Source organism: Homo sapiens, chromosome 6 (assembly GCF_000001405.40).
Source record: "Homo sapiens chromosome 6, GRCh38.p14 Primary Assembly".
NCBI classification, from domain to species: Eukaryota; Metazoa; Chordata; class Mammalia; order Primates; family Hominidae; genus Homo; species Homo sapiens.
The window spans coordinates 152,968,933-152,985,606 of record NC_000006.12 but is presented as its reverse complement, the minus strand read 5'-3'; the positions used below and the strand labels follow the sequence as shown (position 1 = coordinate 152,985,606).

General features: G+C 39.7%; 1 protein-coding gene across 2 annotated transcripts, besides 5 other annotated features; it reads left to right on the top strand.

The window, feature by feature from the left end:
- Window positions 973-1,072: an enhancer, noted in NCBI's record as "active region_25293". NCBI's record gives its function as "activates an Ori minimal core promoter by ATAC-STARR-seq in GM12878 lymphoblastoid cells {active_cell/tissue: GM12878}" and the evidence as "EXISTENCE:reporter gene assay evidence [ECO:0000049][PMID:35858748]".
- Window positions 1,603-1,722: an enhancer, noted in NCBI's record as "active region_25292". NCBI's record gives its function as "activates an Ori minimal core promoter by ATAC-STARR-seq in GM12878 lymphoblastoid cells {active_cell/tissue: GM12878}" and the evidence as "EXISTENCE:reporter gene assay evidence [ECO:0000049][PMID:35858748]".
- Window positions 2,013-2,232: an enhancer, noted in NCBI's record as "active region_25291". NCBI's record gives its function as "activates an Ori minimal core promoter by ATAC-STARR-seq in GM12878 lymphoblastoid cells {active_cell/tissue: GM12878}" and the evidence as "EXISTENCE:reporter gene assay evidence [ECO:0000049][PMID:35858748]".
- FBXO5 (F-box protein 5) lies at window positions 2,028-15,072 on the top strand. 2 transcript variants are annotated; one of them, NM_001142522.3, is made up of 5 exons: window positions 2,028-2,373; window positions 9,986-10,700; window positions 12,471-12,561; window positions 13,153-13,335; window positions 14,193-15,072. In NM_001142522.3, exons 2-5 carry the CDS (start codon window positions 10,021-10,023, stop codon window positions 14,442-14,444), a joined length of 1,206 nt encoding a protein of 401 aa, NP_001135994.1. In that variant the 5' UTR covers window positions 2,028-2,373; window positions 9,986-10,020; the 3' UTR covers window positions 14,445-15,072. The 2 variants fall into 2 exon arrangements, with proteins under 2 accessions (NP_001135994.1, NP_036309.1); NM_012177.5 differs by lacking the exon at window positions 2,028-2,373 and adding an exon at window positions 2,566-2,750.
- Window positions 2,263-2,582: a silencer, noted in NCBI's record as "silent region_17692". NCBI's record gives its function as "represses an Ori minimal core promoter by ATAC-STARR-seq in GM12878 lymphoblastoid cells {active_cell/tissue: GM12878}" and the evidence as "EXISTENCE:reporter gene assay evidence [ECO:0000049][PMID:35858748]".
- Window positions 3,063-3,132: a silencer, noted in NCBI's record as "silent region_17691". NCBI's record gives its function as "represses an Ori minimal core promoter by ATAC-STARR-seq in GM12878 lymphoblastoid cells {active_cell/tissue: GM12878}" and the evidence as "EXISTENCE:reporter gene assay evidence [ECO:0000049][PMID:35858748]".
- Window positions 15,073-16,674: the final 1,602 nt, after the last annotated feature.

Below are 16,674 nucleotides of genomic sequence, written 5' to 3'. Positions count from 1 at the left end.
GTGAAACCCCGTCTCTACTAAAAATATAAAAATTAGCCAGGCGTGGTGGCGCATGCCTATAATCCCAGCTACTTGGGAGGCTGAGGCAGGAGAACCGCTTGAACCAGGAGGCAGGGACTGCAGCGGGCCAAGATCGCGCCACTGCACTCCAGCCTGGGCTACAGAGCGAGACTCAGTCTCAAAAAAATACAAATAAAAACTAATGTAATGAGAAACCTTGCCTGCTTCGAATTTTGTATTTATGCCAGCATCTGAAAATAGAAGAGGTGAATACAATTATCTCTAAGGTCAAACTGTGAAGTAATGTGAAATGTACTAAAACCAACCAGGACTCCAGCAGATAGTGTTATAGGCTAGCATAGCATAAGAGGAAAGGACATGGACTTTTTGAATCCTGCAGACGGGCACTCGAATCTCCGCTTACTAGCTGTGTGGTTTTGGTAGCCACAGTGAGAATTAACTCACACTGAGAAGCACGACCATTGTACACTGAAAATAATGCTAACCTATTGTGAGAATGAAAGGCTAACATTTACATTCTTTTTTTTACATAAAAAAGCTATTATAATTTCAATATTCTATCAACAAATAACTACCTTGCCAAAATCCTTCCAACAGCTAACCACTGCAATCAGAAGAAAGTCTAAACTCTGCATGGAAAAACTACAAGGTCCCACAGGATCTGGCTTCTGCCTACCTCTCTAACCTCATCTCCTCTCTCTCTTGTTCACTAAGTCGTAGTCAGGCATTCCCTCTGCTTATTATTCCCTCTGCTTATTATGCAGCCCTGCATTGCCAGTTCAACGCATCTGGGTTCAAAGCCTCAGAAAGCGTCCTGACCATCCAAAATCCTTAACCTATACTAATCTGCATTCTCTACCCCCGATTACATTCTTTCATATCCTCTTTCGTGTTCTGAAATTGTTCACTGTCAACTTCTTTCCCATTGGTCTCTGTAAACTCCCTAAAGGACAGGACTTTGTCTTTTCAACCCTGAATCTCCAGGATCTAGCCCCAGGGCCAGGTTAGGGTGAGGCAAGGAAGCACAGGCCTCAGGTGCGTTTACGGGGATGAAAAAAATTTAAGTCATCAAGAGTGACACTATTTTAACATTTTTAAAAATGAAAAAGGCAAAAAACCCATGATGAACTAATTATCAAAATTTTAGGTAAAGACAGGATCCACCCAGCACTTGTATGATTCATCCTAATCCTGGCCGCGCCCCACAACTAATTATCAAAATTTTAGGTAAAGACAGGATCCACCCAGCACTTGTATGATTCATCCTAATCCTGGCCGCGCCCCACCGGACTCGTCACTAACGGTACTGAAAACTGACTACAGCCAAGAACTCACTCCGAGGCTGCAGAAAGGCACCAGAGGGAAACAGCAAAGGAGGATTCGCCGTTTTGGAGTTCACATCCCGTTGCTTCACTGGGCTGTAGCCATAAAGCTGAGTTCAGGGAATGCACTGCCCTACTTAAGTGCATATTCAAATTGTGAAAAGTTAAGCATCACTAATACTCCGGTACACTTTCATACTGACGTCCATGCCAGCCATCACTAAAAACTCCCTTGGCCACGGGGGTCCAGCCCAAGAGGGCGGGCACTTCTATTTATTCTTTTTTTGGGAGCAGGACTACTGTCTCCTACACCTGGCCCTTTAAGGAAAGGAACAAAAACCCAGGGGAGCGTAGCTGCACACTCAGTAAACTTAACGTTCCTATAAACCAGTAGCGTCTGAAGTGTGGTTGAAAATACAAATAAACGCGCTTGCAAGGAAGAAGTGCCTCGGTCCTACCCTCGGCCCCGCCGGAAGGCCCTGGGAGATGCAGCCGCAGGTCTCCTGCTACAGCCGCTGGGGAAGGCCGCACAGCCTCCTCGCCCACCCCGGAGGAAAAAATCGCGGGGGACTCCAGTGCGCAGGCGCCGACCCGCCAACTCCGCAGCCACAGCCCGCCAAGGCGCCTGCGCAGAGGCGTGGGTCAAGGGGAGGGTCGAGTTAGGAGGGAGAGCAGAGCGCGCGCGTAAATCCTAGAGAGGCGGGCTAAGCTGGACTGGGGGGAGGGTCCGTCTTCCGGAAAGTCTGGATTCCCGGACGAGCCGAGTTGCTGCTCACCGAACTCCCGTTCGAGAGATGATCGAAGAAAGTCGGCTACCATTTGTACCCATCAAAGATCTCCAGATGGAAGCCAGCGCTGAATTTGGGCTGAGATTAGGACTTGCAGGAGGCCGGTCCAGAAGACGGCGGAAGGAATCTTGGCGGGCGCACGCATGCGTGATAGACCCTCCACACGTGTGGCCGGGCCGCGGCCTCCCCGTGCTCGGAGGTCCCGCCCCCGGCCGTAGCATCTTTCCGGACGTGGGGAGCCGGTAAGCTGGAAGGGGGCTGGGCTTCGCGGCTCGGCCCCGCCTCGGCAGCCTCCAATTGGGCGCGGACGAGGGCGCCCCCACCCACTGCCCTCCTATTGGTGCGCGCATGCAAGCGACGCGTCTCATTGGACCGCGCGGATTTAGGCACCAAATTCAAAGATTTTAAAAGTACCAGCTGGCGCCTTTTAAGAGATACAGGTCTGTGAAGCAGGCAGGTTGCTCAGCTGCCCCCGGAGCGGTTCCTCCACCTGAGGCAGACTCCACGTCGGCTGGCATGAGCCGGCGCCCCTGCAGCTGCGCCCTACGGCCACCCCGCTGCTCCTGCAGCGCCAGCCCCAGCGCAGTGACAGCCGCCGGGCGCCCTCGACCCTCGGATAGTGAGTGAGGGGAGCGGTCGCGAGGGGGGCGCGCACGCCAGGAGGGGTGCACGGGGAGGGTCGCAGCCTGAGACCCTGACCCGACGTCCCTCGGAGCCTGGACGCGCGGCCATGCCACACGCCCGGCCTCGGGCGGCGGCAGCGGTTCCTGGGTCCGGGAGGAGGGCGGCTGGGTGTCGGGGGGAAGCCAGAAGAGCCAGATGTGCAGGGGCGGGATGGCGGGCCGCGGGGTCCCGCCACCCACGCCGACCGTGGACTCCAGCCCCGGGAGGTGCGGGTCGTGGCATCCCAGGGCGCCCTTTTTCCTCCTCGGAAGACCCACCTACCCCACCCTGCTTGAATAGGCGCCAAATGCCCCTCCCCTCCCCCACCCCGGGGCCCCCGGCGGTGACAGGGCTGCGAGCGAGAAGCCCCCAGGGCCTGGCCAGGTGCCTCACCTTCTCCCCCTGCGCCCCTTTTCTACATCTGCCCCGCACCCTCACAGCCAAAGGCAGTTTCCCCGATTTTTCGCGGTCCCAGCCTTGCTGGCGGGCGCGGGAGATCGCGCTCGCGGTTATCTCCCGCCTCCTCCGCGTGTCCCGCGCCCTGAGGGGCAGCCCCACCGATCCCTCAGGAGTTCCAGGGTCTCCCTCCCCACTCCCGCCAAATGGAGAGACACCCCCCCAACTCATTGGACCAAACTCAACTGGGACATCCAAACAAAAACGTTACTTTTTCCCAATTTTTTCTCCCTTTGCCCGTTAACCCAGTCTCAGGGCCTGGAGTGGAAAGGGAAGACTTTAAAAAAAGCAATTTTTACTACGAACCTTGAATTTGTCCATAGTATTAAGATGATTTTGTAAGAATCGAAGAATTGGTGACTTTTTCCCGATAACTCATGAAGAATTAGATAGTCCTTTATTTCAAAGCTTGCAGAGAATGGAATGCACTCAAATGCTTATTTTTATCCTCTTTGTTGCTACCTCTAAATAAAATCTATATGCACTTATTTTTACCTGAGAAATAACCCAAAATGAAAAAATTTAGCAATTCGGCATTGTACTATTTTGTAATGACTCTATTATTAAAAAAGAACTCTAGAAAAAAATACTTAATTTTAATTTTAATAGATTAAATATATTTCTAGAAGATCCTGGATCGTCAGTCTACCATCGAAATTCTGAAGCTTGATGGCCTTATGAGGGTTTTTTTTTTTTCTTTTTTGATAACTCTAATTGTCTTTACTACCTTGCTCCTCAGAAAGAAATGACTGCCTGTTGGAATTTTTTCCCCAGTTTACAGGTTTGAGGAGATGAAATTAAAAATACATATATGTTACTTCCAAGTAGTTTTCAAAGGAGGCTTTTGTAAAATTTTCTCTTAAAGATTACTTTATGGTCACAAGCATTGGGCCTCTTAAATTCTTAAGGAATAGCCATGCCTAACGTTGACCACATGGTCGTTATCTGTAGGTATTAGAGACTGGAACTTAATTATTTAACAGAAGAGTTACAAAGATTTTTAAGGACTGCAGCCTTATTTATGATATTTGATATGGAGGATCAGGTCTATATTGAAAAGTTAAATGTAAGATCAAACATTGTAAAATTTACTTTTCTCTATATGACTGGGCTGGGAGTTGGTAAATGAGAAGTTTAAACAATGCCATGTATGAGTCTTATTAGTGTCTGCACTTGGGGGAAAAATAGGAATAGGACATTCCAAGTTCACAAAGCTAGTCAAAAGGCTAAGCAAGGATTTTCATTCAAACTTGGATCTGATTCTTAAATCTATACATTCTAATGGAAAAGTATGTGTTACTCTGAAATATATACTTCTTTGTGAAATGTGTTTTACTACTTTCAAATGTTAATGATTGTCAATGTAAGGAATATGAAGGGATTTGGCTTATGTGATTAAAAATAGATTGTATTGACTAGACCCTTGTGATAGGGACTTTGCCTTGCATTTAGTCCTGTTTCATTGTCTTACTCCCATTTTATGGATGAGGAAAGTGAGGTTTTAAGAGTTAACTTCTTCAGTTTTCCATACTCAGTAAATAGCACTGTATACCTTCGATACTCAAGACTTAAACCCCAGGGTGTTTTTTTACTCTCCTTTTCTTCATATCCAGATCTAGTAGATTAGCAGCAAGTTGACTTTACCCTTCTAAATAACAGACCTTGAATTTATGCAGTTATTTTCATTTCCACTACAATCCTTCTAGTCTGGGTTTCCCACACTCTACTTCTGTCATAAACACTTCTAACTATTCTCTCTGCTTCTACTTACCTTCCTGCAATTCATTCTCCACAATTGCCAATGATCTTTTAAAAATGTAAACCAAATTTCTCCACTTTTGACCCAGCCTACCCCACAAATCTGCAGATCATTCTACTTCTTCAACTATAATTTTCAATAACCTCCCCCAACTCAGCCCTACAGATATTTCTCTTCCTTGAACACTCACATTTTTCCTTGCTTCCTGTGTTTCCCACCATCTGGAACTCCTCCACCAGATTTCCATAAGGTGTTCAGATCTCAGAATGTCAGCTTTGCTGAAAGATCATCCCTAATTAATATCTTTCTCTCTCCCTACCCTGTCACTGAATGGATGTTGGATAAATAAGTGAAATGGTTCAACTGAACTCTTAGCCCTCATCTGTTTCATTCAAGAGGTTATGAAGCCATATAATGTTTTCTGTCTTTCTGGATAATAATTATATGAATACTTCACATATTTCCCAAATTTGGCCTGGTCATTGGAAAACACTTAGCTAGTTAAAAGGAATGGATTTAACCTTTTGCAAACAGTTGCTTCAGCTTCCATTTTTATAAAATATGATGCTATTCTATTTCTTCTGCAGTATTGTTATGGAAATGAAAAATACATTAATTTCATATTTTAAAATTAAATCTACAACCAACATCCAGATTTCACTCTCATTTAATACCTTTTTCCAAAAAAAAGGAAACCACAGTGCTTGGAGAAATGACTGATTCTAGGGCTGAAACGGAAATTATAAGATGCACTTAGAGCATCTTGTAGTCCCAGAAAGTAAGGGATGTTCAAAACACAAAATGATTTAAGTATGTGAAATGGACACCAATGTCAACTGCAAGAGCTCACAATAGCAAAAGCTGGAACAATTTGAGCAATACAGTAAATAGTATTGGATTATAACCCAAAGTCTATGAGTTTATACTGATATAAATGATTGGTAGTATGAATAAATAGGAGATTAATGGACAAATCTGCTGTAAAGAAGAATTCCAAATGATTTATAAATTTACTCCCCACTCCTTTAAGTGTGAGGTGTACATAGTGACTTCCTTCCAAAAAGTTTCAAATGGAAAAAGAACAAAAAGGAGTAACTTTACATTTGGAGCAAGCTCAGAAATACTACCTCAGCCAAGTAATCAAGGCTAACAACAGTTCAAATCATAGCACCTTACCTCTGGTCTAAAAACCCACAGCCCCAGACTAAGGCTGAGAAAAACTTGACAAATCCTAATTGTGGAACAGGCTACAAAATAACCAGTATTTCTCAGAGTTGTCAAGGTAATTATAAACAAGGAAATTGTCATAGTCAAGAGGAGCCTAAGGAGATATGATGACTAAATGTAATGTATCCTGGATAAGACCCGGGAACAGAAAAAAGATTTTAGGTAGAAACTACAGCAGTCCACATAAAATAGGGATTTTAGTTAATAATGCAACAATATTGGTTAATTTGTTGTGACATGCATTACTGTTAGTAATATAAGTTAAGCAATGGGTGTACAGGAATTCTGCACTATCCTTGCAGCTTTTCTGTGAATTCAAATAAGTTTATTAAAATTCTTTTAAAATACTAAACCTTTTTTTTTCTTTTTTCTTTTTTTTTAAGACAGGGTTTCCCTCTGTCTTCCAGGCTGGAATGCAGTGGTATGATCACAACTCCCTGCAGCCTCAACCTCCCGGGCTCAAGCAATTCTCCCGCCTCAGCCTCCCTAGTAGTTGGTACCAAAGGCACATGCCACCATGCCCAGCTAGTTTCTTTTTTTAATTGTTGTAGAGATGGAGTCTCTTTATGTTGCCCAGACTGGTCTGAACTCCTGAGCTCAAGCAGTCCCCCAACCTCAGCCTCCCAAAGTGTTGGGATTATAGGCATGAGCCACTGCACCTTACCTAAATACTAAATCTAATTATCCATGTGAAAATACTGTTGTTGCAAGAGGAACGTGGTAGTCATTTTAACTCCTTAAGTGCTAATTTCGTGAGGAAGAGTACAGATTCTAATGTTGGTATTAGCTAACAAAAAAAAATGGGAAACACATTTTTATATCATATGTCTTCATTGTGTCAGGCACTGCCATTTGCTTGGATTTTGTCATAAGCAGTAACAGTTATGTCTGGCCTTTAAGGAAATTAAAGTACTTTTTAAAATTTCAATTTGGTAGTGCTTTAGAGTAGAGTTTGATGAGGTCTGAGAAGTCCCCCGCCCCCCCCCCCCCCCCAAAAAATGAAGCTCTCCATGATTAATGGATTAGAAGCTAAATAAGCAAAGGAAGTGGAAAAGATTCTAAGCAGGGAAAGGCATGATGTACAAAGCCCCTGGGATGGAAAGGTCATTGTTACTAAGGACTGGAAAAGGGCCAGCTCACATGAGAAAAGAAACGTACACATTTTCTTCTTTAGTACCTTAAGTGCGCTTGCAACATAAATTCTGACTTTTCTATCATTTTTATAAACAGTATGAATGTTATTTGTAAGATCTGTTTTTCCAGAGCACCTCATTATAATGAGGAAGAGAAATCTGGCTCATTTAATTAACTGCCTGTATTGGGCAAACTAAGCTACACTTCAGTGTGCTCAATTGTAAAAATAACAATTCCCCATCCTACCTCAAAAGGTTTGTAAGCATTGGAAATTGCAAACTTCTAAACAAATATAAAGGATTTGCATCATTATTAGCTCTAATTTTAAGGAACTGTCCATATTCAAAGAACAGTGTTGAATGAAAGAGGTTCTATAGGACAACCCCCCAGTAACTGTTCTAAAGACAGCAGAAAGAGAATGACTTTGAATTCCTGAAGTATTTTCAGGCCTTTTTGGTTTAGGCAGCTAAACAAAGCAGAGTGTGCCCTTCATAAGTGGCTTCTGCTTTTTTATCCTGTCATGTAAATTGTGGTCATATATAAATCAAACCTAATTCTTTAGTTGATTTGAGGCAAAAATAGAGGCAATCTCTTGGCATTTTTTACTTTTCCTCTGAATAAAACTAAACCACTCAGAATCATTTGTTCTAGGTTTAGGGTTAATTAGGGAGCTAGAATTTGTATATTCTTTGCTTTTTATGCAGCTGAACCCTTAATTTTAGGTTTAGTAGGATCCTGGAGCACATACTATGTGTCTTTCACTGTATTAACATTGGGAATTTACAAGCAGTTTCTCTCTACAAGTTACTTTCTATGAAGGTATCCATTTCTACTTTGAGTTAAAAAGTTTTGCTCTATGTAAAAAATGGTTAAGTTTTATATGAACGCATTACCAATATTTAGTGCAGACTAAACATACTGATGCTGTATACATTTACTTACAGGATAAATTGTTAGCTATATATGATTGGCTTGTGTGGGGATGGTAGATGGGGCACATTTTAACCTGGCATTTAAGATTCAGGCTTTCTTAGCTCATGTCCCCATTGTTTGCCTACTCTTACTCTCTGCCTTCAACAATGCTAAACAGTTTTCTGAACCCATCTACCATATTCCTTCCCAGCATTGTGCCGTTGCTCAAATTGTGAATGCCCTTCCCAGGCCACTGTTGTCTGACAAAATCCTAATCATTTTTTAGAGTTGTGGTTCTCAACTGAAGAATAGAGGAAATTTTGCATCTGGCCTTTTTCCCTGCCCAGTATTTGGCAATAACTGGTAACTGGAGACATTGCATCTTGGGAGTGGGGGCTGCCACTGGTGTCTAATGGGTAAAGGCTGCTTAACATCCTACAATGCACAGGACAGTCCCTGAGAACAAAGAGGTATTCACTGCAAAATGTCTGTAGCACAGGGATGGTGAAATCTTGCTTTAAAGCTATCTTAAGATGCTGCCTGCTCCATTGTGTCTTAACTGATTTCTTAGATCCCGGGGGTTGGAGCAGGGTGGTAATAAAACCCTGAACAAGTCTTTCCCTTTTTTCTATTTATCATTAATAGCAAGTTTATCTTAAGTTATTTAAAGCAATTGAACAGTAATTTACACCTGCTGCCCTATCACTCATATTCTTAAATCTGGTTAATTGATTAGAGTGTCATTCTTATTTACCAACACTTACTTTTGATTGATAGCAGAACTATTCATACTTACGGTTCTTTGGTAAATTAGTCGTGGAATGTCTTTGTTCAGTGATTAAAGAGCAGTTTCCAGCACATATTAGACAAGGTACAGGGAGATGTCCCGGTACTCGAGTTTACTATCCAGTAAGGTAGACAAACGCTTTGAATATATTAGAAGGTCACCAGGAGCACCCATCAGAATAAAACTTGGAGATAAGAGCTGTGGGAATTCAGGTAGACTTTAATTTATAGATGTTTAAATGTGTTATTAGTTCTTTTCTCCAAGCTACCTATAGATTTCTTGAATAGTTATTTTAAGGCTTGCAATCATTGTTAATAGTGAAATAATACACAAAATTTTTATTATTTTTATCAAGATTATTCCCACCCTTATACCTTGTCCTCCTGTACTAATCTTAACCACTTTTGCTGTCAGTGGCTTGGGTTGTGCTTACGTCAAAGAGAACCATAATGTCATTTCAAGTCCAAGGAATAAACACTGAATCTAAAAGTATTTGTGGTTACTTTAAGGATAACTTTGACCATAGCGCCTACTCTTTTGATACATCACATTTCTTCATTTGTTCCATAAACACAGATGTTTATTATATAGCCCCTTTTTCCACTATTTTTTACTCAATCAGTTATAGACAACAGTCAGGTGTTACAGCCAGGCAGATCCAAAAGCAGTCTGTTCTGAAGTGCCTTCTCAAGAATAATATAATATGTATGTACTTATAAGATTTAAGTAATATTTTCACATATTATTGTCATATCAATAATTAAACTTGAATAACATCACAGCTATGTAAGCAAGTACATGTAGACAATACCTAATGCTGAGAGATTGCAAAGTAATCTTTGTATATCCCAATTTAAGAAGTAGGGATGTGTGGAAATTTTGCCATTAAGATGTAAATGTTATGTTCTTTTTATAGGTTGTAAAGAAGAAAGTTCTACCCTTTCTGTCAAAATGAAGTGTGATTTTAATTGTAACCATGTTCATTCCGGACTTAAACTGGTAAAACCTGATGACATTGGAAGACTAGTTTCCTACACCCCTGCATATTTGGAAGGTTCCTGTAAAGACTGCATTAAAGACTATGAAAGGCTGTCATGTATTGGGTCACCGATTGTGAGCCCTAGGATTGTACAACTTGAAACTGAAAGCAAGCGCTTGCATAACAAGGAAAATCAACATGTGCAACAGACACTTAATAGTACAAATGAAATAGAAGCACTAGAGACCAGTAGACTTTATGAAGACAGTGGCTATTCCTCATTTTCTCTACAAAGTGGCCTCAGTGAACATGAAGAAGGTAGCCTCCTGGAGGAGAATTTCGGTGACAGTCTACAATCCTGCCTGCTACAAATACAAAGCCCAGACCAATATCCCAACAAAAACTTGCTGCCAGTTCTTCATTTTGAAAAAGTGGTTTGTTCAACATTAAAAAAGAATGCAAAACGAAATCCTAAAGTAGATCGGGAGATGCTGAAGGAAATTATAGCCAGAGGAAATTTTAGACTGCAGAATATAATTGGCAGAAAAATGGGCCTAGAATGTGTAGATATTCTCAGCGAACTCTTTCGAAGGGGACTCAGACATGTCTTAGCAACTATTTTAGCACAACTCAGTGACATGGACTTAATCAAGTAAGTACTGTTTTGAATATACATATTAGCATAATACACTGAACATTGCTGTTAGTGGCTCAGTACCACCAGCTCATGCAAAGGCTGTTGTACAGGTTGAGTGTCCCTCATCTGAAATGCTTAGTACCAGAAGGATTTCAGATGTTTTTCAAATTTTGGAATATTTGTATTATACCCTACAGGTTAAACAGTTGAACATCCCTAATCCAAAATCCGCAAGTGCTCCAATGTGCATTTCCTTTGAGCATCATGTCAGCATTCAAAAGTTTTCAGATTTTTGGATTAGAGATGCTCAACCTGTTGTAGATAACCTTACAATGTTGTTTAATTGCGGTAATGACTTGCTGGTGTTTTGCTACCTATGTGCCACTAAGATGAAAGAAAACTTGAATTATGCATTTAACCTAGTCATTTCAAATTTTATATTCATGCTATTACAAAACTATTTCTGTTGGATTAGGATCCTTGTTCCTTTTAGTTTTGAAATTTCTAATATGTAAGTTACATCTTTGGGGCTTAACTGTAAAACAGCCTAGTTCCAGTCTACATGTCTAATAGGCATTATGACTTGTCACACCAGAAAGTATGAAGTAATTTTTGTTCTTTCTAAGCCATTTTTGGTGCTAGGGCTCTCCTAGATTTGACAGTGATGAAAATATAAAGATCCACAAATAGAGATTTGTGACTTTTTTTTTTTTTTGAGACAGGGTTTCACTCCAGTCACCCAGGCTGGAGCGCAATGGTGCAATCTTGGCTTACTGCAACCTCCACCTCCCAGGCTCTGTTTATGACAATTTCTTAGAAACCTGGTGCTAACCACCATTTCTTTCTCAATCTACCAAGGAAAATCACTTAGTCAGATAACTTTGAGAATTAAGGTGATTATGCAGGCTAGAATTAGATAGGACTTAACTGGAGTTGTTTTTTTTTTTTTGGCTTTTTGAAAAATTATCTAGAGGTACTCTTTGCAAGTGTGAGTTTACACTGGTCTTTATGAAACAGAGCTAAAGCAAAACAGATATAAACAGCTTCTTTTTTTTTAATTTTTTTTGGGGACGGAGTCTCGCCCTGTCACCAGGTTGGAGTGCAGTGGCACGATCTCAGCTCACTGCAACCTCTGCCTCCCGGGCTCAAGTGATTCTTCTGCCTCCTGAGTAGCTGGGACTACAGGCGTGTGCCACCACGCCCAGCTAATTTTTGTATTTTTAGTAGACACAGGGTTTCACCATGTTGGCCAGGAGGGTATCTCGATATCTTGACCTCGTGATCTGCCTGCTTCAGCCTTCCAAAGTGCTGGGATTACAGGCATGAGCCTAAACAGCTTCTTGAGGGACAGTCAAATCAGTACCACAGATTCTACTTTTTCTGTTAACATAGTGAGTTTCTAAAGTTGATTTCTAATAGCAGTGTGCCTAGAGTACTTTGAAATTTGTCTATTACTTTTACCAGATAGCTAACATGGTATCATATATACAGTGGGGGCTACTATTTGATGTTTGCAGATATTGTGAAAAAATACTGTACAAAGCAGTGGTTCTTAAGCCTCAATGCACTCAGAATTACTTAATGAGGAGGGAGCTTTTTAAAAATACAGAGCCCTGAGCTTCATTTTAGACCAGTTAAAACCGCCAGGCAATTGTAATGTGGTCAGGTTTGAGAAGCACTAATAATATAAAATATCTTTTTGCACTGCTGATGTTTTTCTACTGTATTCATCTTAGCTCTTTGTGATGCTTTAATTATTTCATTTATGGTGATTTACTTTTCCAGTGTGTCTAAAGTGAGCACAACTTGGAAGAAGATCCTAGAAGATGATAAGGGGGCATTCCAGTTGTACAGTAAAGCAATACAAAGAGTTACCGTAAGTGTTTGCAGATGATGTTTTTAGTTAAAAATGCACTGTTAGTGCTCTTCTAGAAATAGAAAAGAAAAGAGGTAATCTGGAAACCCTTCTTTACAGTCATAAAGTATTTCAGCCTTATACTGGAACTTAGAAACCACATTCAAAAATAAAGAAATCTCAACTCAACATTTATTTCTTGGATTCTTCCTAGAAATAGAATGTCTAAAGTAACAAAGGGAAAATTACTCATTTCTCAGATAGAGTCGACCATTTAGTCAATCTTAGTTGCCAGTTGTGTGTATGTGTATTTTATAACATCTGGAAAATTTGGAAAAGCTGTTTTACTTTTTAGGTATTAAGTACCATATAGACTGCATCTAAAGTGATTTCCCATAGTATTTGGTTCACAGTTTCTGTCTATAAGTTAGGCTTGATATGTGTGAGTATTTAGGTTTTGCTTTGTTTAAGTACGTGCAGGTAAATTGCATGTAGGGATAAGTCTCTTACCTAATCTTGTTTGTCATTTCTTATATGTACAAACATAAAAATGTCTCATTGAGGATACAGGAAATAATTTCTAAATTCTATTAAAACTTTTTTTTAAATTAGGAAAACAACAATAAATTTTCACCTCATGCTTCAACCAGAGAATATGTTATGTTCAGAACCCCACTGGCTTCTGTTCAGAAATCAGCAGCCCAGACTTCTCTCAAAAAAGATGCTCAAACCAAGTTATCCAATCAAGGTGATCAGAAAGGTTCTACTTATAGTCGACACAATGAATTCTCTGAGGTAATTTTTTGTCTAATCATAAATCTTAAAACATAAGAGATTTAGAGTAAGAAATGTAAAAGAACTTTCAAGGTCAAAATGTAACTTTGCTCTAGATAATAACTAATTTATTCTCTGACATTAAGAAACCTGATATTAATGATCATTTAAATTTAATTATAGTATAATTAGAACTATTAGGGATTTCATTAGTGTCCTCTTCATTTCGCTCTCAATGTGGAAAACAAAAGAAACATGAAATTAGGAAAGTACGTAGAAATGTATTTCTATGAATATTAGGTACTGCTTGGCATTGTTTGAAAGTTCAGTGATTTTGAGTTCTAATTTAGAAACACTGAAGAAATAATGAAAAACCTAGATTTCTTATAAAATTACTCAGTACTACATTTTGCATTTTCCGCTTTTAAGAACCGAGGAAGAGAGTTAAGTGGAAAAAGGCAAGCTTTCTGAACTTGAAGGCCTTCTATTATACCTTCAGATCAGTGAATGATGTGTGCTAAAATTTCTACTCAAATGTAGATAACTTTGCAAGCTTAATTTAGATAACTTACCAAAATTATAGAATATTTTCTGATTCATGTTGATCAGTAAATATAAATCCTACATAATAAAACTATTCTTAAATTTTATGCCATAATGACTAATGCAACATACAGATTTATTCAAAAAGCATTTATTGAGCATCTATCAGATAATGCATAGATAAAGGGCAATAGTTAGGGCAGTAGTTATCGTATGTGTGACAGTGATATTTCATACATGAATTGGGGAAGGTGCAAGGGTGTCCTTGGTTTTATTAACTAAAGTACATGTAATTCTTGCTGAAATTTGTTAATGGGTTTTTTTTTTCTTTTTAGGTTGCCAAGACATTGAAAAAGAACGAAAGCCTCAAAGCCTGTATTCGCTGTAATTCACCTGCAAAATATGATTGCTATTTACAACGGGCAACCTGCAAACGAGAAGGCTGTGGATTTGATTATTGTACGAAGTGTCTCTGTAATTATCATACTACTAAAGACTGTTCAGATGGCAAGCTCCTCAAAGCCAGTTGTAAAATAGGTCCCCTGCCTGGTACAAAGAAAAGCAAAAAGAATTTACGAAGATTGTGATCTCTTATTAAATCAATTGTTACTGATCATGAATGTTAGTTAGAAAATGTTAGGTTTTAACTTAAAAAAAATTGTATTGTGATTTTCAATTTTATGTTGAAATCGGTGTAGTATCCTGAGGTTTTTTTCCCCCCAGAAGATAAAGAGGATAGACAACCTCTTAAAATATTTTTACAATTTAATGAGAAAAAGTTTAAAATTCTCAATACAAATCAAACAATTTAAATATTTTAAGAAAAAAGGAAAAGTAGATAGTGATACTGAGGGTAAAAAAAAATTGATTCAATTTTATGGTAAAGGAAACCCATGCAATTTTACCTAGACAGTCTTAAATATGTCTGGTTTTCCATCTGTTAGCATTTCAGACATTTTATGTTCCTCTTACTCAATTGATACCAACAGAAATATCAACTTCTGGAGTCTATTAAATGTGTTGTCACCTTTCTAAAGCTTTTTTTCATTGTGTGTATTTCCCAAGAAAGTATCCTTTGTAAAAACTTGCTTGTTTTCCTTATTTCTGAAATCTGTTTTAATATTTTTGTATACATGTAAATATTTCTGTATTTTTTATATGTCAAAGAATATGTCTCTTGTATGTACATATAAAAATAAATTTTGCTCAATAAAATTGTAAGCTTAATGTATACCTTTTATAAACATTGTAATCCTGGAAACAACTGAATTAGGAAGCTGCAGTAGACTGCGTTTGTGTGAAGGCATTGAATGGATTTTTGTGATGGTTTTTCTGGGGAGCTTGTGAGATTTTTGGGCAGTACCCTGATCCCGGTTTTTCCCACTTAATAGCTTAATTCAGTAGTTGTGGGGTTGGGTCTTGAGATAAACATCTCGAGATGATTCAATACAGGAAGGCCATAAAAGACACTGATAAATACTGATGTGCTAATTTGTCTATCACTAAACCAGCTGAACTATGGATTAAATAGCACCCCATCCCCCTCAAAAAGCTAGAAGGATTTAAATTGTATAGAATAAGATGCCATCTTGGCTGCAGTCAAACATTTGTGCTAATAACAAGAGCCCAGAACAAGGATGTCTTTATTCCTTAATTCCAAAGTTAGTTATGTTTCAGTTTCAATTACGAATATGGGGAAATCCTAAGAGGCTGAATTCAGACTAGGCCCTCCAAAGATTCAAGGGTGGGCCTCGGATGCTATCAGTTGGGCCCCAAAGATGTTTAAGGGCTTTGCCTTTCGTCTCAACAAAAACCTAAGGTAGAGGGTCCCTCCTGTCAACTCCCAGGCAATCACTGATCTTTGTCACTGCAGACTTTTCAAGGATTTTCTATAAATGGAGTCAGTTTGCTTTCACTGAAGGCTATTTTGACACTCATCTGTGCGTGTGCATCAGTAGTTAATGCTCTTTTCTTACAAGGCAGTATGCTGTTGGATATACCAGTTCACCAGTTGATGGATGTTTGGCTCTTTACTCCATTTCCTGCTGTTACAAGTAAGGTGCTGTCAGTGCAATCAAATTAGAACTCAGGATTAAGAAACTCACTCAGAACCGCACAACCACATGGAAACTGAAAAATCTGCTCCAGAATGACTACTGGGTGAATAACGAAATTGAGGCAGAAATAAAAATGCTCCTTGAAACCAATGAGAACAAAGACACAACATACCAGATTCTCTGGTATCATTCTCTGGACACATTTAAAGCAATGTATAGAGGGAAATTTATAGCACTAAATGCACACAGGAGAAAGCAGAAAGATCTAAAATTGATACCTAATATCACACCTAAAATAACTAGAGGAGCAAGAACAAACAAATTCAAAAGCTAGCAGAAGACAAGAAAGAACTAAGCAAAACTGAAGGAGATAGAGACACGAAAAACCCTTCAAAAAATCAGTGAATCCAAGAGCTAATGTTTTCAGAAGATCAACAAAATAGACCGCTAGCCAGACTAATGAAGAAAAGAGAAGAATCAAATAGACGCAATAAAAAATGATAAAGGGGATATCACCACCGATCCCACAGAAATGCAAACTACCATCAGAGAATAAACACCTCTACACAAATAAACTAGAAAATCTAGAAGAAATGGATAAATTCCTGGACATACACTCCCTCCCAAGACTAAACCAAGAAGAAGTCGAATCCCTGAATAGACCAATAACAAGTTTTGAAATTGAGGCAGTAATTGATAGCCTACCAACCAAAAAAAGTCCAGGAAGGGACAGATTCACAGCTGAAATTCTACCAGAGGT

Bases quoted from the DNA above. Each gene is read 5' to 3' on its own strand.
- FBXO5 (NM_012177.5), top strand. From the start codon at position 2,648: ATGAGCCGGCGCCCCTGCAGCTGCGCCCTACGGCCACCCCGCTGCTCC. The intron at 10,701-12,470 runs GTAAGTACTGTT...TTACTTTTCCAG, and splicing joins AGTGACATGGACTTAATCAA to TGTGTCTAAAGTGAGCACAA. The intron at 12,562-13,152 runs GTAAGTGTTTGC...TTTTTAAATTAG, and splicing joins AAGCAATACAAAGAGTTACC to GAAAACAACAATAAATTTTC.